Here is a 24,320-nt window from a genome sequence, read left to right as displayed (position 1 = left end):
CAGGTGCCCCTAGACCAGATGTCACCTGGAGGTTTTGTTCTGGATGTAACCCTGACCAATATGTTCATGCCATGTTAAACTAGTCATCTCAGCAACTAAATTGGTTTCATTACAATACTTAGATCAACTGTTCTCAAACTTCAGTGTACTTAAGAATCACCTGGAGCACTTTTTGGAAATACATATTAATCAAATTATTAATACCTAAAACCACTGTTCAATCTTAGCATCACTAAAAGGGGACAACTAAACATTATATGCCTCATGATATGATGAAAAGCACAGCAGTACCTATCAAGTATGCCTAAAATATTAAATCTGAATATTATTAACCTTTAGATCTATCACTTTTCAGCAAATATGTATGAGGGATAGAGGAACAAGTTAATTGACACCAAAAGAAAGCAATCAAAGCCAGAATTTAAGACAGTCTAAAGAACAAATTGACCCCTTTACTCCAAATCAATGGTATAATGGGGAAAAAAAGGGCGGGGGGAGAGGGAAGGCAGCAGCCAAAACATCAAAACCAGCACATTCTCCCTGGGGCTCCACCAAAAATTTCTATGGCAGTAAGATGGGAGTGAAGCCCTGTAAACGCTGACTTAGATATTCATGGAATATGGGTCTATCATTTTTGGTCAACAATTCAGAATGTGATAGCTATTCCTGGACATCACTAAGAGACTTCCATTCCAGCAATAGTTTATTGCAATGTATTTAGTCAAATGAATTATCAATTCACAACATAATGAATACACAGAAAGTATCCAAGCACAAGTGAAATTTATGTTTTAAAACAGAAAAAAGTTTGTTATTTCTTTTATCACATTATAGTTTAAACAGTAGAAAATGTATAGTTGTGCATCTCTTAGGTTGGTGCACAAGTAATTGCAGTTTTGGCGATGGTGTTACACTATTTACTGTGGGGTGAAACACTGGTGAAACACTATTTACTATGGGGAAGGGAAGAGAAGTAGTAATGTTTCCCCAAAATGTCTAGAGATCCACAATACACATTAGCAAAATAAAGTCTCTAAGAAGTCCTGCAATAAAGTAACCCAAGTTTAGCCTTTTGCTCAAGTTCATTTCGTCTTCTTTTCATGGAAATATATTAACATTTCTGGAAAACTAGTGTTTCTAGAGTACAAACTCTAGTTGGCCCTGAATACCAAAGACTGTGGTGATCAAAGCAGCAAAAGGAGAATCCCCTCAACCCCATCCGTCTGCTCCATTTATCCTCTATGTCCTTCCCAATTCAGACAAAATCCATTTTTATCATTAAACTTTAGTAGGTCTGGAAAACACCCAATAAGCACCTTCACAATATAATTAAAACTTTTAAATACTTTACCTAAAAATATATATTAAGTACCTGCTCACTGACTAATGAAATGCAGTTAAAACTGTGTTTTTCCTTCCTTTCCAACTTCTAATTTCATTCAGTTTGAGAATATAAAATATCTAGTAGCAATATACTTTTTTTTTTTTTTTCAGACGGAGTCTCGCTCTGTCACCCAGGCTGGAGTGCAGTGGCACGATCTCGGCTCACTGCAAGCTCCGCCTCCCGAGTTCAAGTGATTCTCCTGCCTCAGCCTCCCGAGTAGCTGGGACTACAGGTGCATGCCACCACGCCTAGCTAATTTTTTGTATTTTTAGTAGAGACAGGGTTTCACTGTGTTAGCCAGACTGGTCTTGGTCTCCTGACCTTGTGATTCGCCTGCCTTGGCCTCCCAAAGTGTTGGGATTACAGGGCGTGAGCCACCACGCCCGGCCACAATATACTTGTCTATCAAAGACGTTATAGATTTCACACGATCAACTATGAAAATACTGAATCCACAACAAAGCAGAGATAGGATTATGAAAGAGTGCTTCTATTCAGGGACATTTTTAGTTAACAGCTAAGGTAGAAAATTTAACTGCAAAAAAAAAGCATATAAACATTTTTGGGAATTATAATGTTCTCATTTTGTATCCTCAGGAAAATTTGTAACCTCAGTGAAAACTATCTGTCTTAGAAAGAACTCAATTTATTTCTACTTTGGGCAATTTAAGCTCTAAAAACATGGATTCTAAGACATAACACTAACCTAGCTGAGCTTTGATAAGTCTTTCAACTTTCTCCACTTTCTGCTCTTCCTTTCAACAAGTCTGCATGTCCTTTAAAAACGTAACAGAATATCAGAAAATATCAAAATCAGGTTTTTTGTTTTTTAAAATGGATACACTGCCAGGCTCAGTGGCTCACTTTTGTATCCGAGCACTTTGGAAGGCTGAGGCACAGTGGCTCACTTTTGTATCCCAGCACTTTGGAAGGCTGAGGCGGGAGGATACCTTGAAGCCAGGCATTCAAGACAAGCATGGGCAACAAAGCAAGACCCCTGTCTACACACACACACACACACACACACACACACACACACACACACGATACAGTTTATAAAGTTAAATTTGAAATACATGCATGAATAACTTATTGATATATTTGTCTTCCAATCTCCATATACTTTTATTTTCCTTCCTTGAATAAGAAGGGCAATCAGTTTATTCAGTTCCGTTTAGCAATTTACAAACTCAGTGCTTATATACCTAAGGCTTTCTCTTAAAAGAATTGATCTATATGGTGGACACTAACTAGAGAACACATGAGTGTATTCATTCAATTTAACTAACAAATGTAAACTCCCTCAAATGGTGTAATTTAAGAAAGAGCTTTACCCACCAAGAAAAAAAAAATAGAATAAATTCACAATGCGATTGAAAATGTACTATGGTAAACATAACTCTACAATTAAGTTTCTGACTATTCTAAAGGTAGGTACATATAAATAGAAATGAATATTTCAGTGCCAGAAAACTAGTAACATATAGTTTTGTACAATAAATTTTTAATGTCCAAGATATTTCACCCCCTTTCCAAAAAAATCAAGTTTTATAAAGGAAACATCAAGTTAACCTTGACTATAGCTGTAATATTGGCATCAGTAAGCAAAAACAAAATTTTAAAATATTTGAAATATTTACCTAAATCTTCATACCAAAACTTCAAATTCTTAACCCAGATAAGACCAGCAAACTGTCCCCCAATTTCAACAACAAAACAGAACAAAAAATTAAAATCCACCAAGTAAATATGGAACACATTAGGCAAAGAGATACTTGGGCATAAATTTAACCATAAGTAATTTCCAAATATTATTGAACACGTCATGAACACAACATTTTGGTCCAATTAATGAAATGTTCCCTAAGCCATTTAATTTTTTTTTTTTTTGCACTTTAATATCTCCATCTACAAAATGTGGGAAACTATACCTTATCCTTTCATACTATAGGAATATCCTAATAATAAACATTGGTGGAACACATTGAGATGTACATGCCAAGAAAAGGAACTACATGAAAATAAAGTGCATAAACATCACAGATGATTAGTATCCAATTTTTAATTTATTTATTTTATTTTATTTTATTTTTTTGAGAAAGAGTCTCACTCTGTCGGCCAGACTAGAGTGCAGTAGCACGATCTCCGCTCACTGCAACCTCCGACTCCCGGGCTCAAGCAGTTCTCCTGCATCAGCCTCCCAAGTAGCTGGGATTACAGGCATGAGCCACCATGCCAGGCTAATTTTTCTATTTTTGGTAGACACGGGGTTTCACCATGTTGGCCAGGCTGGTCTCAAACTCCTGACCTCAGGTAATCCGTCTGCCTCGGCCTCCCAAAGTGCTGAGATTACAGGCGTGAGCCACCGCACCTGGCCTCCAATTTTTAAATAGACTGCTTTTACACATTATCTGTAAGCACTTTACTTTTTTTTAATTTTTAATTTTTGTGGGTACACAGTACGTGTATATATTTCTGGAGTAGGTGAGAAACTTTGATACAGGCAGGCACTTATATTTGTAAAAATTAAATGCCAATGTTAAAATAATCAATTGCATTTTCAATTTTAGACTCTAAGAAATTTTTGTAGACAAGCTATAACTGAATAAATGTATATTTGAGAAAATTAAGTTAATGTCTGGCAGACCATTAATACTCAAGTCTATATTTAATGACTGTCAATATTTGTATCAAAAATAACAAAACACTATTAAAATATACATGGCCAGCATACTAGCTTGCTCTTCCTAATTTAAATTATCTGTAATATTATGAAGATATATCATAAAACACTAGGCTAACAGCCATCCATCCAATTAATAGCAAACTTACAGGGGAATGTGAGCAAATATTAAACTTGTAAAGGAGGAATAACACATATAATGACAGTCTTACAATAGGTCAAATGAAAAAGCAGTTCATATTAAAAAATTATTCCACTTGTAATTTAAAAAACACACTGCATTATCTGCTCATCAGTAATGATGATATTCAATCTGACGTAGCAAAGAGGTAACTTATCAAGTCACTCGATTACTATTTCTTACTATGAAGAGCCAATCTTATGGGTAGGTAATAGAATTGCTGTTACTTGGCATCTTGTCTGCCAATTAAGATTTTTCAGAGGAAGGTGTAAAAGCTAGCATCATATATATCCTCTTACTGTGCAATATTAGACCACCAGGAAAAAATTCTTTCAAGGTTGGTAGTACCTAAGTTTTGACCAGCATATTTCTTTTGTATTTCTTTACAAGCCATGCAAATCTTCACATGGTTTTATTTTCCAAAACAAATGCTTCAACTTTTTTCCTAGTAGCCTAGCTACAACCCTGCAAAAACAAACCTAGAGAGTGACATATGGAGGAAAAACAAGTTTAACTAAGGACATAGTTCAAAAAGCAGCTTCTAATAAGAGCAAAAAGCCCAATTTGATCTGAAGACCATGTAAATACTTACAATGTTGAAACTATATAGTTAAAAACAGTACCTATAATTAATGATATCCTCCCAAGATAAAAATGACAACTGGAAAAACAATATTTATAATTAACTTTTGTTAAAAAAAATTGGAAGCCTAGATATTAATTTGATTATGCTAAAACTATTAGTATGAATGTAAACTCTTCAGAAAAATATACATCTCATGAATCATGTATATTCTATAGTACTTTCTGGTTATAAAACTTAAGTCAATCAATCTAACAAATATGAAGCAAAACTTCAAAAATATGTATTTCAAACAGTCCAAAATTCAAATGCTTTAAACTGATAAAAACATAAAACCAGAATATGTATTAACATGTTCCTCTCAATATCATAAATAGAAATGAGCAAATGAATGTCACGATGAATATAAAACTCTCTTGTTTCTCACCCCACTACTAACTCAACGGTTTTGGAGGTTAATTTTGCTTTTTGATTTAGCCCTTTAATTTAAAATGTACTCTGACACAAATGCCATCACACACACACAATAGATGACAACCATATTTAATATTTTCTAGACTTCCTGTGTAACTCAATAACTACTCCACAAAGTTCTGCGAACTCCAGCTTCAAGCCTGAAGTCAATCTAAGATAGCCAATAGAAAGTACACCTGTGCGATTACTGCATTTCCTATTTCAGAATGCTGAACGTAATACACAATAACTGAGTGCATCTGAAGCAATAATAAATGCAAAACTCAAATTATGCAGAAGCCACCTTACAAAAAAAGGCCTGTACTATCACTATTAAAAAGCAATAAATACAAAGAATATCATTTTAGTTTTTAATAACACCAACTAACTTAGGATCCTCTAAGATAAGCACTTTAAAAATAAAACACAGCATCATGATAAATTACAGTATGAAAGTATTCCTAGAAGAAAAACTAGAGGCAAAAAAAAAAACGCTAAATCACAAAATATATCATCTAGACTGTATCACATACCAACTGAATAAGAAATTAAACTTTGCCGAATAAGCAGTCAAAGAAGAAGAGGGAGAATGAAAGAAAATCCAGATTATAGTATCCCATTTCATAGTATCCCCATTTTCCTAAAGATATAATAATTTAAATTATCTAATTTAAATTACTAATTTAAGTCACTGGAAATTCAACAAAAAGTAATTATCAAAACAATCCTGGTCACCTAAGCCACCAACATGTTATGCCATGTAGGAATATTCTACTGAAAAACCTATTCAATGACACTGTTCCAAACAAGAAGTTTCATTAAAAAAAAAAAATTCTTAAAGCCAGAATTTTTAAAACTAAAGGAGTTTCCAAAACAAAGAAAAAAATTTTCCCAAAGGTTACAAAGTTTCATTAACTATCTTAAGTCTTTTACTAAGCATCACCTTTCTGCCCCTCAGTGGGTATCAAGCGATGAATAACAATGTCACAAAAGAATGTTTACCAAGATTGGGGCTGGGGTGTCACCTGTAATGATTTTGTATGAAAAATGTAAACGATCCTGAAATTGGTGAGGAAGACTTTCACCTTCCTACAATCTCACTTTATTTATATTAAATGTGTCTCAGTCTGAAATGAACAAGAGCTTAAGAACTGTTTGGTGTGCAAGGTTTGCTTTTGTTTTTGCTAAAAACAAATCTCTCCATAAGTCCCTTATTTCCAAATACTATGGAAAAGTCACTACTACTCACCGCAAGTAATACTGTTTTAAAGCAAAGGCAGCGTTAGAACAACTTCTGGGAAAGTTGAACTCTTCAACAATTTCTCCCCACTGATTCTTCTCAGAAACCTGGTAAAACACAGGCACAGTTGTCTGAACGTGAACAATCTAAGAAAATCTTAACCTAACTATGAAATAAATACCCATTCTACAGAGATCTGTAGATACCTAAGGCATCAGTGGGTGTTTCGGATCGATCGGTAAGAGTTACTAAGCAAGGGCTTCTTGAATCACTGTGTTTTCACCAGAGAGCCCTGTATTTAATACCACTTGTTTTGTTTGGGGGTGGGGGGGTTTGGTGGGTTTGTTTTGTTTTTGAAGCCCGGACAATAACCAATCGCAAGTCCCTCTGTCGCCCCCTTTTAAATCTCAACGCGGTCCGTTTACACTAAAAAAAAAAAAAAAAAAAAAAGTTCAAAAGGATCAATACAGTTCCGGACAGCGACGTCCGCGGGTTGGGGGGGGGGCCGGGGCTGGGGCCGATTCCGATCCCTCTCCCAGATCTATCCATCTCCATAGGCCCTTCTTTGAGGCCTACAGCTTCTGCCTAGCCTTGAAGCCTAAGATGGCTATTTGGAGACAGGTCCTGGTTTCTTTTGTTAGCTGTATAAACCGAGGGCGACGGGGCCGAGGCTGTGCCCCCGGCTGCCGGGATTATTTCGCAGCCGATTATCGATGTTAAACCTGCCCGCGCTAATTTTGAGTTGCACGAAAACTGCTCTCAGAGTCTGTGTGTCTCTGTGTGTCTCCGCCTGTGCTAGAGCGGCAGCGGCGGCAGAGCTGACTCGCGAGCGAGCGGGCGGGCGGCGCGGGAGCGGGGCGGGCGCGGGGCTCAGGCTGGCGCCCCGCACGCCCGCATTCCCCGCCGCGGCGCTCAGACCCCGCCGGCCCGACCGGGCACCGGGCAGGGCGCGAGCCGGCGCCGGGCCGCCCGCCCGCCGGAGCCCCGCGCCCGCCGCGCGCACGCGAGCCACCAGGCCAAAAACAGCCCCGCCGCCGTCCGCCTCCGTGCCACCGGCTGGGAGCGAAAAGAACGCCTTTTGCCCCCGCGGGCCACCCCCCCAGCCCCAAGCGCCCACTCCGGGGTCAAAGGAGACTTTTTGGAGGAGGCCAGCGAGAGGGAAATACAAATTAAAACTTCCACTCACCTTCGCGAATCCGCCTAAAGTAGTGACTCTGGTGTAGAGACCGTGAAGATCCAGCTCCTTCCCACCCACCGCAGGGATTTTTTTAAAAGGCGACCTGCGGGAGAGAAAAAGCCCCGCACTTGTCAGCCGGGACCCCGTGCCCGGCCCGGGCGGGAGAGCCCCGTTCGCCCCGGCTCGCCCCGGCGCTGCCCCCCCGGTTCTGCTCTCACCCTCTGCTGTGGTGGAACTGCCGCAGCTCGTCCAGGAAAGCGAGTCCCTTTCTCCGCTCGTCCGGAGGCGCCTTCCCCGTCGAGTTTGCCATTATTTTTTCAAAGGAGGTTTTTAAAAAACCCAGATCGGTGTTTTAAAAGCGCCCCCCGCTCCCAGCGCTTCCTACCAGAGCCCGGAGCCCATTCCTCGGCCGGCGGCGGCGGGGCTCAGTCATGGGCCGGCGGTGGCGGCGGCGGCGGCGGCGGCGGCGGCGGCGGCGGCGCAGGGAGGGAGGGAGGGAGGGGGAGGAGGAGGAGGAGGGGAAGGAGGGAGCAGGAGGCCAGGGGGAGAGGAGGGAAGGAGGGAGGGGAATTTCTAAAAAAGTTTAAAGAAATCGGAGCGAAACTAGAAGGGCAGGCGACTGCCGGATCCGCGCGAAGCCGCGGGGCGAGCGCGGCCCCCACCCCTTCCTTCCCTCCCTCCCCGTGGCCCGGCTCTCGCCCGCCTCTCAGCGCCGCCGGCTGAGGCAGCTCAGCCCGGGGACGCGATTCAACATGGTGCTGCTGCCGGGGGCGCGCGAGCGGGCGACGGGCAAGGCGAGCCGATGGTGAGGGGTCTGGGCGGCCAGAGGCCCAAGAGTTTCGGCGGCGGCGGCGGCGGGGCTAGGGCAGGCGGGGCTGGGGGTGGGGAGGGGGAGGTCTGTGTGGTGGTTTGTGGAAAGCGCGGTGACAGCGTGTATTTCGGCCCCGGCTCCGCGGGGCCCTCGCACACATTCACGCGCGGCCTCGGCCGCTGAGGCCGGGGCGTCCCCGGGCAGAAGCACCGGCGGCAGCTGAGCCGCTGCGCGCCGCCCGCCTGCTTCCCTCCCCGCCAGCCTCCCTCTCTGCCGCCGCCACGGCCTGGCAGCCAGTGCCACACAGCGACCCCCGAGGGCTGGCCGCGGCACTGCGCCTGGCTCCACACCGCCCCGGCAGATCCTCGCGGGGAACAATAGACTCGACTCGCCGGGCTTAGGGTTCGTCTGCAATGTGCCGCACATTTCACACGCACACAAAGCCGGCGGAAAGGGGGGCGGTGCGGGGAAACGGCCACTACCGGTTGTTCCAGGGTTAGGGGTGGAGGCGATGTTCGCGTCCCCGGCCCGGCTGTTGGAAGGGCCGCCTCGGAGTCCCCGCCCGCCCGACAGAACCGGTGTGGCGCTCTGAAGGGAAAGGAAGCTCACCGGGGTAGCCCCTCACGCTACGCAACATTCACAGATCGGAATAAAGTCAATTTGTTACCTTCTGTTTTTGTAAAATCTAAAGGAATCGGCTTTTATGAGCCGTATGCTAGTATTTTGGGGCCTGGTTAGCACATTTTCTATGAATTATCCACACGCTAACTTTAGCAAACTATACGTTAAATACAATGTGAACTGTCTGTCCTAGTTCTGTGGAAATAGAGTAATGCTCTTAATTCATCTTGCCGCTGGTTGGCTTCACATATCAAACTGGAGTATTCTATGAGCAAAGTTATGCAAACTAACTAAACTGGTTGGGAAGCAATCTATCGAACTTCGACAATAATAATTAAGGTTTACATTTTTATAGTAAGGTCTCTTCAAGATTGCTGCGTTTAAAATAAATACCGAATAAAACGTTTTTCCTTGCTTTCAAATGTCTTAAATGTAATCCTCGTTTAAAATATTTTGAAGGTTAAAAAAACCCTTTGCTTAAATGAGTCAAAACATCTCAACAAATACTACCACCTAAATTTGCATTTACGAGGGGTGTTGGAGCCGGCTCTTTGCTACAAATGTTAATTAAGATTACAGTACGTGAAACGTATTATTATTCCCATTTTAGTGACGGCCACCACGGGCAAAGTCACTGCCTAACCCAAGGTCACAGGGTAGTAGGGGTCTGGATGGGTTATTTCAGGTAGTCGTTCCAATGGGAACATTGCTTTGGAGGTGAAAAATTATGTAATATAGTGCAGCTTGCTTCCGGTGCTCACTCTAGGAAACGGACTTATTTCCCAACTAAAGTTTGTCTCTTAAGTGGGGTCGGAATAAGGTTGTGGCTAGGAAGATCCTGACAACCCAGGGCCAGTGAGTGTCTCGGAAGCCTGTGAGGGGCGGAGACCCGGCCCGGGGAGGTGGAGAAGCTCGCCGGCCGCGGAAGACTAGGGGTGAGGCTGCTGCGAGGAAGACCCGGTCAGCTGTCCCTTCCCCCATCGGTCCTCTTAGGGGAAGTGGAGATGTGGGCCTCGGAGCTGCGTGGCCCGGGCTGTGCGGATTCCCTAAACGCCGCACTTGCGCACAGCCCCTTACGTAACCGTCAGTGCCGGGGATTCCCTGGAGGGGGTCATTCTATTCAACCATTATACACACCCCGGGCTCCTGCCGCCGCGCCGCCGCCGCCTCACAAAATGGCGGCGCCCATAGAGGAGACCGCGGCCGCCTCCCCGGCCCCATTTTGTGGGAGGCGAGAGATCTGTCAACATGGAAAACCTCTGCTGAGGATGCATCCGAGTTTGGAAACCCCACTTAAGGGATGGAGCCTGGGGGATCACATTAAACGGAAAATGCCAACGACTTCTACCACCTCTACGCGTTTTTAGTTTTTCATTTTCTCGAAGGAAGCGCCAGAAGCCTGTGGAGTAATTGTAACTAGAGGGAGAACGGAAAGCTGAGGTGACTGCTCCGGGGACTTGGCGCGGCGCCTTGGTGGCTTTGGTTGCTCTTCCACGCTCCCGGCAGCTGACCAGAATCTCTTGGAGGGTCTCCTGGGCCACCTCGGCCGCGCCAGTCGTGCAGTGAGACTTCTGTAGTTTTAAAATGCCACAGTCCACGGCCCGGTCGGCACCGCTCGCCTGAATCGTGGGCTTTGGGAACCTTGGAGGCTGCTGCTCCAGGAACTCGCGGTCGGCCGGGAGCCGGGGAGCTTCGTTGCTGGGAGCGGGCGGTATTCGCGGACTCCGGCGGCCCTGGCGGGTCGCGGCCGGGATCCGAGCCGGGGATGACGATGCTGATGGAGCTGATGGGGCAAGAGTGGGAACGGAGGCACGTACACTGAAATTTAAGTCATCCAAGTTGGGACTTAAGATAGCAGGTTAATATTGTCTCAGGCGAGACTTAGAACGTCTTTTCTGGTATCCCAGTCTGCAGTGGGCAAATCTATTGTCTTTATTTCTCATTTAAGGGCAGAATGGAGGGATGACATATTTTTACTTTTCAAGAGGCGGTTGCCACTTTTAAGTCACTGTTGTGTGTGTGTGTGTACATACACAAACATACGATAGTGTGTTTTCAGAGCAAGTATCAAAGGCTAAAGACTTGGAGTGATACTAGTGTTTAAAAGCCTTTTTAAAAAAATTAAGATGTGATGAGAAACTGGAGAATTGACTTTTAAAAATTTCTTTTCTGTAGAAGAGGCTATCTTCAAAATGGAGTCCTAAAGTATATCTGATGGATAGAATTTAAATTCTTAACACTGTATATACCCTGTGGTCAAAAGCATCAACGTAAAACTTGATGTTTATCAGATTACTTATGTTTCAATTTTCCTGTGGTTAGAAAAATTAAGACAGAAGTAAGCTATTAACGGTATTTGCTTGTAAGAGTAACGTTAAAGGTTTAAGGAAAGGTTTGTTGAAATCGATATGCATCACACGAATCATTTATTTTCAATGTTGTTTTCCAGTTGCAGCAATCATTTGTGTTTACATGACTTTGAAAAAGGGTTTAGTTTATGTTGATTTTGACCCTCTTATTTAATCTCTAGTGCAGAAGTGCAGCTTTCTGCAGGCTGCGCCTCAATCGCTAAGTTCCACTCTCCATCCTCTGCCGCGCTACTCCTGGCATGTGGATCACCAAGATACAATTTCTGGTCCTGTCTGTTCTTATTGATGTCCTTTACAGTTAATAAATTTGATTGCCACTAATCAGTCTGTATCTCTTGCAAAAACACCACATTTAGCATCCAAGTAGAGTCAGAGTATGTTTTTTATGAGATTGTACTAAAGTAACCTTCTATTACATTTCTTATTACCATATTGCATTTCCTATAGTGGGCAGCATAGAGCAGGTGGATCCTGACAAAGTAATGTTAGAGATGTGCTGACAGCTTTACAATAGATATTCTCCAACTAATTTGACAAGATATAAAATAAAATGTAGTTCGTAGTTTTCAAGCATTAATGGAAAGTGTTCCTATTAAAAAATTACCAATAACAGTGGAAATTGTTGCAATCCAATTTGTATAGTTTACTGTTTTGATGACAAAGCGCTTATGATGGGAAAAATGTAGTGTTGCTTTTGTAACTGCAAACGCTGCACGCCGTAATTAGAGGTTTATGTTATTTTATTTGAATTTTTCATTCTTACCATCAGTTTTCATATTAGTCAGGAAATTGTGATAAATTAAAAATTCCCTCATTCAACTAAACCTTAAAAAACTGTACCCAGTTTCAAATCAAGCATTATCAGGTGTATGATTACAACAGCTGAAATAAATTGAGGAATTGGTATGCCAACTCAGTGGAGAAATTTTGGGATTTTAGGTCACTCTAAGATTTAAAAAAATAGTTTGATTCGTTAAACAAGGCTATTGAAGTTAAATTGATATTTCCTTAAAGATGATTTTAGAGAAAAATTCCTTGGCGAGCTTCGAGAATGCGTTCATGGCTTCTGTTGCCTGTACCTACTGCTATACTTTTTTATGTGGACTAATTTGTCTTATTTGAAAATTTGATTACAATATCAAATCCTAGATGAAGCCCTTCCATTCTTAGGGTGATTCTAAGGAGTACTGATAACTAAGCTCTTAAAAGGCGAGGAAATAGTTTATTCTACTGCAGATTAGGGTAATCTTAATACAGACACTCTGATGGTAATTCTAAGCAGTGTTGATAACTAAGCTTTTAAAAGATAAGGAAATAGTTTATTCTACTTCAGAGTAGGGTAATTTTAATGCCCTGAATATACTCTGAATCTTTTATAGATAGATTTCTGGATGATTTGGCCCAAAAAATCTGATAAGCTTTGGGGAATTTTTTAATTTTTTTTTCTCTTAAAGAGAAATCAGAAATGTGGGATTTTTTTAAAAATTTATTTTCAGTAGATATTGGAGATTATGCTTTGTACATTAAATCCAGTTTGATTTTTAAGTGATAATTTTCAATTAAAGACTTTTTAATAAGACAACTAAAAAATTAAATTTTAGTCAATTACAATAATATTTTTTGGAGAAGCATTCCCAGATGTGCTTTTGACGGGGAGTTGATTTCATTAGTTGTTTGGGTTGTTTAATCCAGAATTTTTAAAACTGTTATGGGTTTAATTTGCTACATTTGTCCATTCTTATTCATTTCATCTGTTTTGATCACTGAAAAGTTGTCTAAAAACTGTGCTCATTATACACAGTTTATAGTATTTTAATACTTTGTTTATAGTATTTAATAGCTTCTGAAAACTTTAAGAGAACATACTAAACCAAGGAACTATTTATTAATGGTAATCTATATTTAGTAATAAATATATTTGTAACTTACTAAATGTAAGTTTACTAAATGTAGATTACTAAATCACTGAGTAAATATTTCTTGAATATTTGGACAAGAGATGGGGGGAGGGAGAATGACTTGACCCTCAAGAAACTTAACTGCTACCTTTAAAAGGTTATAATGAAGCTGGGCACAGTGGTACACACCTGTAGTCCCAGCTACTCAGGAGGCTGAGGCAGGAGGACCCCTTGAGCCGAGGAGTTCGAGGCTCTGTCTCTTAAAACAAAAAAAGTTATAAAAATATTCAGACTGGAGGGTTCCTAACTTTTAATACTTAAGCAGGGTCTTTACCACAGAGTTAAATTTAAAATTCTGTTTAGAATGGTAACAAATTTAATTATGTACAAAACAGCATCACTTTAGTGTTAGGATCAGTGTTACTCAAAGTGTTGTAATGTTAATAACAAGCATTTAAATCACATTGTTTGAAAACTGGGATCTACAAAAAATATGATTCCAATAATTAACTTTTTAATTATGGGAAAGGCAAGGGAATGTTCAGTGAATGTAAAAAAAATATACTACTGAGCAAACAAATTGTTTTAATGAATTTTGATTTTCTGTTTTAATTTTTTGGTACATTGACTCTTCTTGACATGGCACTTTGCTATTAATTAAAAAAAATTAAACCCCAAAGACAAATTAATTCTGTATTTAATGCAGATTTAATTCTTGACTAGCTGTAATGCTTAAGGAGTTGGCAGTCTTGTTGGCAAAACAATAAAATAGGAATTAAGCTGAAATGTAAAATTGTGTAATAATTAGGTTTCATTAAAGTATATATAGTTTCCTTAATAACTACATGAGTCAGTAGTGTTGACTTAATAATAAGTTATTTAGCTTTTGCTTTTCTCTGAAAACATATCAAACTCTTCATATATAGCATCGAAATAGATATTCAACCTGAGCCACTGTAAATTGTTGAAGCTTATTGCTATACATTAAGGGAAATTCTATCCAACAGTTCAGTGTAAACAATTTTTTAAAGGTGCTATGATTCTTTAACATGATTTGTAGTATGTAGAACTCAAGTATTCTAGAATAATCTTTGCATGATAATGTATGAGAAACATTTATAAACAGTCCTTCAGGTGTACAAAATAACTGACATAATATTTTGCATTTAACTACACTGCCTCCAAGTATTTTAAACAAAGATGAAATTTTTAGAGTATTGTGCTATATTTTTATAACTGAATTTCCCTCTTATTAACAATACTCATAACATTTAGCCATTAATGATTACTGATAGCTTAAATAAGAGTGTAGTTTCTGTTTCTAATGTCTATTAATTTTAACCCCATTTAAAGATATTTCCTACTTATCATACTCAAAGTTAATCAGAAGTTAAATAAATGATGGTCCTTCTGGTTCTCTGGAAACTGAAAAGAAGCTTCTGTTTCTTTAGGGTATGCAGGAATTTTTTTTCTTCCCAGTGAGCTGAATCCATCCTTTACGCTGCTATTTGCTAACCTCAGTTGTTTTTCTGCTCCATTAAAGTTGAGGCCACCAAAAATAGTAGTAATATCACAACTACAAAACCCTGGGTGGATTTGTACCCATTGCACATACACTTCTTGCTGCCAATTCCTAAGAGACTTTTGAAATAATAGTATATTCCCAGCTGGACAATATATTCTACTTGTGGCCTATGTATAGTGTTCAACAAGTCCAGGAGCCCTATGAAACGGAATGTGTTTACTGCATTTTTCTAGGGAGAAGTTCTCAGCAGGCACGGGCATCTTAAAGACCCTGTGATGCCCAAAAGGTTAAAGCTCTATTTGCTAATGACAGATAGTAAGTTTGGAGGATTGCTTCAGGTGCAGCATTTTATTTTGTGGGTTGTTGGCCTGTAGGGAAAAACATTTTGAAATTGTAGTTAAGGAATACCACTTCAGTTCATCAAATTAAAAAAATTATGGCAAATAAGCAAAAATCTATTTCTAAAGAACTACATACAATATATTCTTACAGAAAATTTTAGATTAAATGCATGTAACTGTTTTTTTGGTTTGCCATGTATTGAAAATGGATGGATGGGGGATTACATTAGTTGATGTATTTATTTATTTATTTTTGAGGCGGAGTCTCACTCTGTTGCCCAGGCTGGGGTGCAGTAGCGCAGTCTCGGCTCGCAACCTCTGCACCCTAGGCTCAAGCAACACTCGCACCTCCACCTCCTGAATAGCTAGGACTACAGGTGCACGCACCATACCACACCTGGCTAATTTTTGTATTTTTTTATAGAGACAGGGGTCTTGCTATGCTGCCCAGGCTGGTCTTAAACTCCTGAGCTCAAGCAATCTGCATGCCCAAGCCATTGGCCCATCTTGGCCTTCTAAAGTGCTGGGATTACAGGCGTGAGTCACCATGGTCAGCCCATATTAATTTAAAGTAGGCTTCAAATATAATTATTCACTAATTGGGAATGCCTGGGGATGTATATGAATGTATTACCGTTTTGTGAGTAGTAGTGTGTGCTTGTGTTCATGGATGGCATTCATCAGAATGTTTGCAATGGTGTAGCCAGGTTACACTGCCATCTTCCTGTTCTCCTTTGTGCTTACTTGCTCTGCCTGTATTTGCTGCAGTTTCTAGCGAGTGTATGTAGGTGTTGGCCCAGAACTTGCTTTTGTAGAGATCATACATTGTGCTAATTTATCCCAAATCAGTTTTTGTGTATTATCTGTGGGCCCAATGTGTAATTTGAACTTTAAGGATACTACTTCAGACTGCAGTGTAGCATAACCTTTAAAAAAAAAAATGCTAGTTTTGCCCTAATCTGTGCATATTCCAGTTGTTCAATGGGTATTAGTAATACATGAATTACTTCTGTGCCCTTTTTGGTGTAGAGTCTCATATGAATAATTACTGTTATTTAAAACCCACGACTCCATGCATTGTTTTGGTGGGAGAGGGTAGTTTCCCATCATGTTTTACATATATGTTAGCATTCAGATTTTCCTTTTTAGCCCACTCCCTACTGAACTGAAGGGAAAGGGCGTATTTGAGAGAAAACATATGCTTTACTCAGGTTCCAATAATTAAGCCAATGCACTTGATTTAAGTTATACATTTAGCTCATTCTTAAAGTGTAATAAAGACTTTAAGCCTCCTGGCTCCCAAATCAGTGCTTTTTCTACTAAACATTCTTTCTGTCTTGCTAAAAAAATCCAATTTTCAGAATCAAGTTAGTTGCTAAGCAAATATGCATAAAACCATACATTTATCTGAATTGTTTCTAATTTAAGGAGTAGTATATAAAAGTTTCAACAGAAATCATTGATTAGTAAAAGTGATGGAAAATCAGCAAAATAAAAATAGAATTAGAGTAGGCTAAAAGGCCCTTCTTTAGGGTAATCGGAAAACTGAGTTCAAATATAGGGTCTGGGACTTCTCAGGTGATATTTTATCTTAAATTAGAATCTGCATGAGGTAGGGTGGGGCCACTCATGCCTATAATCTCAGCACTTTGAGAGGCCGAGGCAGGAGCGTCCCTTGAGACCAGGAGTTCGAGACCAGCCTGAGCAACATAGCAAGACCTTCTCTCTATTTTTAAAAAACTAAAATTGGATTTAAATAAAGAATCTGCATGAACTTTCTTGTCACTTATTCTTACATATTATTTGCCAGTGTGCGATACTTAATAACCAAGTAAGACACTTGAAATGAGTCTTTTAAGGCTACAACTTAGGTAACATTTTATAAATATTACTGCTACATACATAATACAGTAACTTTTTTTAGCCTCACAATAATACCTTGTACAATTTATAACTGCTAAAGGGCCTATAGAAGGCTACCCACCTATGTAAAAAAAAAAAAAAAAAAAAAAAGGTCCTAGCTCTGTCTGGTGTAGCTTGGCAAATTATTTTTGATATGAATTGCCAGGAATATAGGGGTATCATTCCTTGCTGATAAGAGCACATACCCTTCCTTTGCTGGCTAAGCTATGTGATTCTGTAGGACCTTAGTGTCATGGCCATCCTTTCAGTAGTAAGCAGATTTAGAGAAGTTGTCCCATTGTTACCTTATTTCAATAGTTTTTGGTCTTTCTATATTGTGCATAACCTCACTTAATCAGATTGTTATGACTGTTTCCCCCCAGGAAGTATAGGAAGATAAAAAAAAAAAAAAGCCAGGCCAGATATATATGACTGAACGTGAGCTCAGCAAATGATATAGGTGTCTTAAACATACTTTCTTTTTTTTTTTTTTAAAGGGAGGGGTTCTGGCTCTGTCACCCAGGCTGGAGTCCAGTGGCTCAATCATGGCTCACTGCAGCCTTGACCTTCCCAGGCTCAAGCGATCCTCCTGCCTCAGCCTTCTGAGTAGCTGAGACTACAGGCATGCAGCCCCACACCCAGTTAATTTTTTTATTTTTATTTTTGTGGAGACACCGTCTTGCTGTGTTGCCTAGGCTGGTCTTGAACTCCTGAGCTCAACCAGTCCTCTCACCTTGGCCTCCCAAAATGCTGGGATTACAAGCATGAGCCAGGGCACTTGGTCCATATTTTGTTTCTTAAAGTCACAAGTTAAAGCTGGAGGTTTCACCCAGAATCAAAGTGCCAGGTAGCATTTTAGTCCAGCCTAGGATAAGCAGCTGAGTTTCCATGAACACAGTACAAGAATTCAGGGATATCACTTGCTAAATGTAAACCAGTTACCTCCGTAATTTCCCAAAAATTTTATTGTGACAAACGAGTGCCATACTCTGAACATTAAAGGCTTTTACCTCCAGCTGTCCAAACATTGTGCATGTTATTCGGGTAGAGGCACTGGTATGGTAGGAGTTTCTCCTTTAGTGTCTTGTAATTGACAACAGATCCAGCATTTATGGAATGTATTGTTATTGTAACTTTTGAGTTTCCATAGCCAAGAACGTAAGAGTAATAACTAGGTATAGTCCATTATTTTTAGTAAAGTTAGTTTTAGTTAGCCTTTGATGGTAGACACTTCTCAGGTTATAATTCAGACTCAATAACAAAGCCAGAAAGTTCAGGAAGGGTAGGGTAGTGCTGTGGTCTGAATGTTGAAATCCTAACTATCAAGGCATTAGGAAATGGAACCTCTAAAAGGTGATTAGATCATGAGGGCAGAACCCTAATGAATTAGTACCCTTATAAAAGAGACCCCAGAGAACTGGTTTGCCCCTTCTGCCTTGTGAGGTTACAGCAAAAAGACCATCATATAGGAAGCAGGACCTCACCAGACACCAAATCTGCCAACGCCTTAATCTTCGACTTCCCAGACTCCAGAACTGAGAGATATAAATTTATTAAGTTTATAAGCTACCCAGTCTTTGGTATTTTGTTATAACAGCCCAAACTAAGGTAACAAGAAGCAATCCTCACAGTGCTTGCTTAATGTCATGCACCTGTCATTCTAGTGGTGCTCATTTGCCAGTCTTTTTTTTTTATGAAAGAAATTAGCAGTCCTGCTTTCTCTTGTTTTGAGTGACAGGTCTCAGGTAAGGATTTATTTTCCAGAAAGAAAGTGACTAAATAGATTCCCTCCAGAAAGATTTTCAGATCAGTAGATCTGCCTTAAACTAATGTAGTCTTTGGACCCAGTTCAGAAGTGGCCAAGGCCAATCCTCAATGCATGAAAGTAAAAGTTAGACTGTATTTAAGGGAGACAAATTACTAGTTAGGAACCATCGAATGAGGTCAGAGGCAAGACCTTACTAACAGATGGGCAAGTTAAATGCTATCTTCTGAAAATTTTAGTTGCTTCATGATGGACTCATTTGGAGCATATCTGGAAAGTTTTTTGGACATGTCTAAAACACGGGGTTGAATTTTCCTTACAAGCCAGGGTTAGGACAGGAGGTCGACCTGCTGTCTAGATAGTCTCAGCACTACCAGAAGCTATTTGTAAGCTGTACTACTAGTCTGGTGACTCAAGTAGGAAGTGTCCAGGAACCTTTCTTCTAGACACTGCGAGAAACCAAAGATTAGTAATAAGAAATTGTTTGATAGACAAGATGAACATCTTAAAGCATAGATTCAAGACAGAGGACCTTTGTACCTGACAAGTACTCAGGAAGACTTGAAAAGGGCCCCCGCAGGTGAGTTTCAGGCTCTGTCTTCCACTCATGAACCTGCAAAATCCAATCCTTGCTGCTGAAGATTTCTTAAGAAAAATGAACAGTGTACCTGGCCACTTCAGTGTCTTTAGAATCCCATCTTGGTGTTATACTTTGCCTATTGATTCTAGATGGAGAGGTATCAAATGCTTTACAAAATCTCAAGGAGTTATAAACTACTTTTACAATCTGTGTTATAAAGTGTATTCCCTGGTTATTATAAATAGGCAAAATGCTATTCCAAATCTAACAATAAAGACTTTTGCCAATACTCATTGTTTCAGCTTTCAAATATGTTAAGTATGTTTTCTACCCATCCTACAAAAGTATACATAATCACTAAAACTTATGAACAACACATATATGATATTAACCTGAATATTTACAGAGAGCTCCCCGGAGGGATGATTTTATTTATTATGTTAATTCTCTATTTGTTTAGTTTGTGACCTGATCTTAATAGTAACAAGTGAATGAGTTAGCAGAGGAAATCAGTTAATAAATATAAGAGCAACAATGCCTGTGAAGAAGTCACCACATGGGCCAGGCACAGTGGCTCATGCCTACGTCTGTATAATCCTAGCACTTTGGTAGGCTCAGGTGGGAAGATCCCTTGAACCCAGGAGTTTGAGACCAGCCTGAGCAACATAGCAAGACCTTATCTCTACTAAGAATAAAATTAAAAATAAAAACATGAAGAAATCACCACAGCCTTAGTTTAGTAACGATAACAGTATTTTGTAATATCCACAGCAGAGGAGACTAAGGACTAGATATTTTAGCTCCTCCAGAAGCGAGGAATGTTTATTGTTTTTACAATTGTCTACAATCAAGAACTACCCAAAAGCTTGAGGAGCATCAGTCATTTATGACTTTTCAGAAGTTAAAGTATCATCTCAGGTGAGGACAGCACTTTCTGCCACCTAGGAAGAATATGGAGAAAGCAAAATTTTTTACTACTTTGTCTTAAGAACAGACTGCATGTCTAGAAGCCAATTTGGTTTTTTTCTCCAAGCTGCCAGTTCCCTCTTCAATATTATACAGTGTTTTGTTTTGGTCATAGCACCAATTACTAATTTAAATGAGATTTAACGAAACTCTTTCAATAATAAATAATACATAACAAAATACGTGTGTGACCATATATTTGCAAGAAAGGGGTTGTGCCATGAATCTTTTTTTCTCAGTTTAACAAATAAATTTGCAAAGGCAACTTTCAGGAATCAGAATGTTATTTTAAATATTATTAACAAGACAACAAATTATTCAGACAACTAATCAGAATTATAGACTTTAAACTTACGTTATTTTTCACAGAATATAGCAACACTGAAATCCAGGCGTCCAGGAAGACTATTTTACTTGAAATAATATTTTTAAACCCAGTTTTATGATATAGAATAGAATTCTATTTGCTTTTCTGCAGCTTTAGGGAAGAGGGGACATTTTCCCCTTTTGATATTGCTGGTTTTTTTTTTTTATTTTAAGAAAACAGCAATTAGAAGTGTCTAAATATCAGATTTCCATTAGCTAGCATCAAGAGAGAAGAGTAGGTACAAACTTAAAATTCAGAAAAGGACAGAAAGGGCCAGGCATACTGGCTCATCCCTGTAATCCCAAACTTGGGGAGGCTGAGGTAGGAGGATTGCTTGAGGCCAGGAGTTCAAGACCAGCCTGAGTGACGAAGCAAGATCCCGATCTCTACGGAAAGATCAGCCATTCCTGGTGGCTCGCAGCTGTAGTCCCAGCTACTCAGTAGACTGAGGCGGGAGGATTGCTTGAGCCCAGGAGTTCAGGGCTACAGTGAGCTGTGATGGCACCACTGCACTCCAGCTTGGATGACACAGCAAGGCCCTGTATCAGAAAATAAAGAGAAAAAGGACAGAAAGATAATGCTAACAAATGGAATATGGAGCATATAATGTCTTGCCTCTACATGTAATTAAGAATAGAAGTAAAATTTATCTCAGATTAAGATTTTTTTTGAAACAATCTCAACAGTCTATATTCAGATAAGACAGATTTTAATAAAATTATATATGTCAGTCATCTGTTTCAAAAATTTCAGGGCTATTTTTAGTCTTTATCAAGCATAACTTACAGTTATAGATAGTTGTGGTTTTAGAAGCTATTCTATTTGTTATTCCCTCTGTATCCCTTAATCCCATGCCTCAAATTATTTCAGAATACTTTCCCAATAAATGTACTAACTTGTTCTTTTGTATTCCAAAAATGTGAAAGGTGTTAAAAGTTTGTGTTTTCAGTGCCTTTGGAAACACTTAAAAACGCATCTTTGAAATTGTGTGTCCAAACCAGTATTTCCCAAAATGTGCCATGATCTGTTTATAGGTGTTGAGTTAAATATATGTATACACACATATATTATATACACATATATATGTGTGTATACATGTATACACATATATACATGCATATGCACACATATGTGTGTATACATGTATGTGTGTACACATCTATGTATATATACACATATATGCACACATGTGTATACATATATACACTATGTATATATACACATAGATGCATATATATGTATATACACATATACACACATATGCATATATATGTATATACACATATATGTATACACATATGCGTATATATGTATACATATATACACATATGTATACATATATACACATATATATACATATATATGCAGTTACATAACTTTGAGAAATGCCAAGTTAAGCAAAGTTAGAGTTCTTTACTACAAGACTTCTCAGTGCCTTTAATGTCCTCCTATGTTATCCTCTGGGTATATTCTATTTTCTAAATCAACCTACCTTTTTACTAGGATTGGTGTTCCAAGGAAAATACTGGAAAATGCTGGTCTAAATATTGTTAAAAATTGAACTCAAGTGTCTAAAACCAGAAGTGCCCAATCCTTTACTAGAGTGTGAGCTCCTTGAGGACAAGGGTCTGTACTCATTCTTTGTAATCCCATCTTGCATATAACCAATATAATGCTCAATATATATTATTGAATATATTAATATAAATTTAATATAACTGTTGAGAGTCAATTTGTAATGCAAACCTAATAAGCTCCTGATTTGATAAAGTTAGTTATTATGAAATAACTTGTGTATTTTCATGCATATTTGTTTTTCTTCTCTATACTTGGAAGAAATAGAACATTTTAAAATGGACACTATTTTACAGGTTCATATTTTAAGATGGTGATCAGCTATTTTTATCTGTTGAAAAGTTGTAGACCTAACCTTATAAAAGATCTGTTCATAGACCATGAAGCATTTCAAAACTGTGAGGTAGAGAAATCAGGGTATTCTGATTCATTTCATTTCACTTCAACATTTACCCCTCTGGGAATCTGAAACTTTTTTCATAGTCTTCTACTTCACTCTCAACTCCTACCTCCCAAAAAGATAATTTATCTACTTATGTTCCCACTGCTTTCTAGAGTTCATATAGTTTCCCAGAATTTGCAGCATCTCCCCGACTCTTTCCTGTTACTTCATGTTATAGAGCTTCTCCAAATGCTTTCCCATAGGTTTCCTGCCTCATCTGCCAGAGACTTCTTGTAGTTCTTCAGAATTTACTGGATGTGCTAAAGAGCATTTAAGTACACATTTACAAAATGAAGGAACTCCACTGCTGTGCAAGTAGTAATAGGTCTTCAGATCCATGAAGCAAGGACATTTGGAGAAGTCTCAGTTATCAAGTATGATACCTATTTATGGGGAATGTAGAGAATTTTGCCATCTTTCTTATTAGTAGAAAGAGAAATTTGCAGATTCCTTAGAGATTTAGGGGCGTTTAAGATAATCAAAGAGTTTTGTATATTGCAGTTGGGGATCTAATCCATACTGAAGACCATAATCTATAATAAAGCGTCAGAAGCAAATAGGAAATAGAAAATATATGAAGGAATTATTTGAGTTTAGAGGAAAAGAAAACCAGCAAGAATACTGCTATCTAATCATTAAATCAGTTTAAGATAGACACATTGGGAATGTCTGGTAAAACGTGTTCTTAATTAGATTATAATGCTTTTTAGAGGACCCTTAATAGGTATTGTGAAACTCATATTTTGGCAATTTGAGCATCCTTTTTGCAGAATTTTATGAGAATTTCTTTGTAAAAGAAAACTTTTAACAAGGACTATTTGATACAGAAAAGTGTTACTAATGGAAATTTCAAGACTTCCTGCCTTGATGCTCTTTTAAATTAGAGGTTCATGCAGTAGCTTAAATGAGCAAGTCTTATAAACAACTGGAGAGTTCTTTAATATCCCTTAGAACCAGATGTTTTGTTGCTGTTACTTTTTTTCTATCTCCATTCAAACTACCCATGGATGTGACAATGTTAGCCAAGCAATGTGCTAAGATAAGAAGCTGTTTGAAGAAGGCACAGTGCCTTAAGTTTTGGAGTTCATGAGTGGTGGGAAGGAGGAGTGGACATAGGAGTAATTCTACTATAGTATGATCAAGGAGTATGATGCAGGTATTGGCTCTGCCTGGAGAAGTCTGGAAGCTTTATAAGAATAGTGTGTCTTAAAGTAAGAATGTTCATTGTTCTGATTAATGGGGAAGGGAGGGCTAGGATATTCAAAGACCCAGAGGCACAAAAGTGTATGGCATGCTTTGGGAATGGTGAATGGCCCACTGAATGAGCCCATTTTGTGGGAGTGAGGGCGAAAAAGAAGCCAGAAAGCTGTATTGAGGCCAATCTGGGATTTGGACTTTTTTCCCAAAGATTATATTATTCTCAGTCATTTTTCTTGTGCTACACAAATGATAGACAT

At 39.2% G+C, this 24,320-nt stretch overlaps 1 protein-coding gene and 1 long non-coding RNA gene across 4 annotated transcripts in view, besides 6 other annotated features; one reads left to right on the top strand and one right to left on the bottom strand.

The window, feature by feature from the left end:
* The window catches only part of ARID2 (AT-rich interaction domain 2), a 178,332-nt gene extending 170,190 nt beyond the window's left edge, over positions 1-8,142 (bottom strand). For all 3 annotated transcript variants that reach the window (NM_152641.4, NM_001347839.2, XM_047428489.1), the window contains exons 1-3: positions 7,920-8,142; positions 7,711-7,804; positions 6,534-6,631 (exon numbers count right to left, since the gene is read on the bottom strand). In NM_152641.4, coding sequence (NP_689854.2) covers positions 6,534-6,631; positions 7,711-7,804; positions 7,920-8,011 — 284 coding nt within the window. In that variant the 5' untranslated portion in view covers positions 8,012-8,142. The remainder of the gene's footprint in view (positions 1-6,533; positions 6,632-7,710; positions 7,805-7,919) is intronic.
* Positions 7,692-7,931: a silencer, noted in NCBI's record as "silent region_4376". NCBI's record gives its function as "represses an Ori minimal core promoter by ATAC-STARR-seq in GM12878 lymphoblastoid cells {active_cell/tissue: GM12878}" and the evidence as "EXISTENCE:reporter gene assay evidence [ECO:0000049][PMID:35858748]".
* Positions 8,442-8,861: a silencer, noted in NCBI's record as "silent region_4375". NCBI's record gives its function as "represses an Ori minimal core promoter by ATAC-STARR-seq in GM12878 lymphoblastoid cells {active_cell/tissue: GM12878}" and the evidence as "EXISTENCE:reporter gene assay evidence [ECO:0000049][PMID:35858748]".
* Positions 9,374-10,336: an enhancer, noted in NCBI's record as "H3K27ac hESC enhancer chr12:46121295-46122257 (GRCh37/hg19 assembly coordinates)". NCBI's record gives its function as "activates a minimal SCP1, AML or CMV promoter by ChIP-STARR-seq in naive and primed H9 embryonic stem cells {active_cell/tissue: H9 hESC(naive and primed)}" and the evidence as "EXISTENCE:reporter gene assay evidence [ECO:0000049][PMID:30033119]".
* Positions 9,374-11,299: a biological region, named in NCBI's record as "H3K27ac hESC enhancers GRCh37_chr12:46120332-46121294 and GRCh37_chr12:46121295-46122257".
* Positions 9,912-10,631: an enhancer, noted in NCBI's record as "active region_6228". NCBI's record gives its function as "activates an Ori minimal core promoter by ATAC-STARR-seq in GM12878 lymphoblastoid cells {active_cell/tissue: GM12878}" and the evidence as "EXISTENCE:reporter gene assay evidence [ECO:0000049][PMID:35858748]".
* LINC00938 (long intergenic non-protein coding RNA 938) lies at positions 9,927-12,128 on the top strand. The gene has a single exon (NR_028408.1). It is a non-coding gene; the product is annotated as a long intergenic non-protein coding RNA 938 (long non-coding RNA).
* Positions 10,337-11,299: an enhancer, noted in NCBI's record as "H3K27ac hESC enhancer chr12:46120332-46121294 (GRCh37/hg19 assembly coordinates)". NCBI's record gives its function as "activates a minimal SCP1, AML or CMV promoter by ChIP-STARR-seq in primed H9 embryonic stem cells {active_cell/tissue: H9 hESC(primed)}" and the evidence as "EXISTENCE:reporter gene assay evidence [ECO:0000049][PMID:30033119]".

This window comes from Homo sapiens, chromosome 12 (genome assembly GCF_000001405.40).
Source record: "Homo sapiens chromosome 12, GRCh38.p14 Primary Assembly".
NCBI classification, from domain to species: domain Eukaryota; kingdom Metazoa; phylum Chordata; class Mammalia; order Primates; family Hominidae; genus Homo; species Homo sapiens.
Note: the sequence above shows the minus strand (reverse complement) of the source record. Positions and strands in the feature narration are given on the sequence as shown.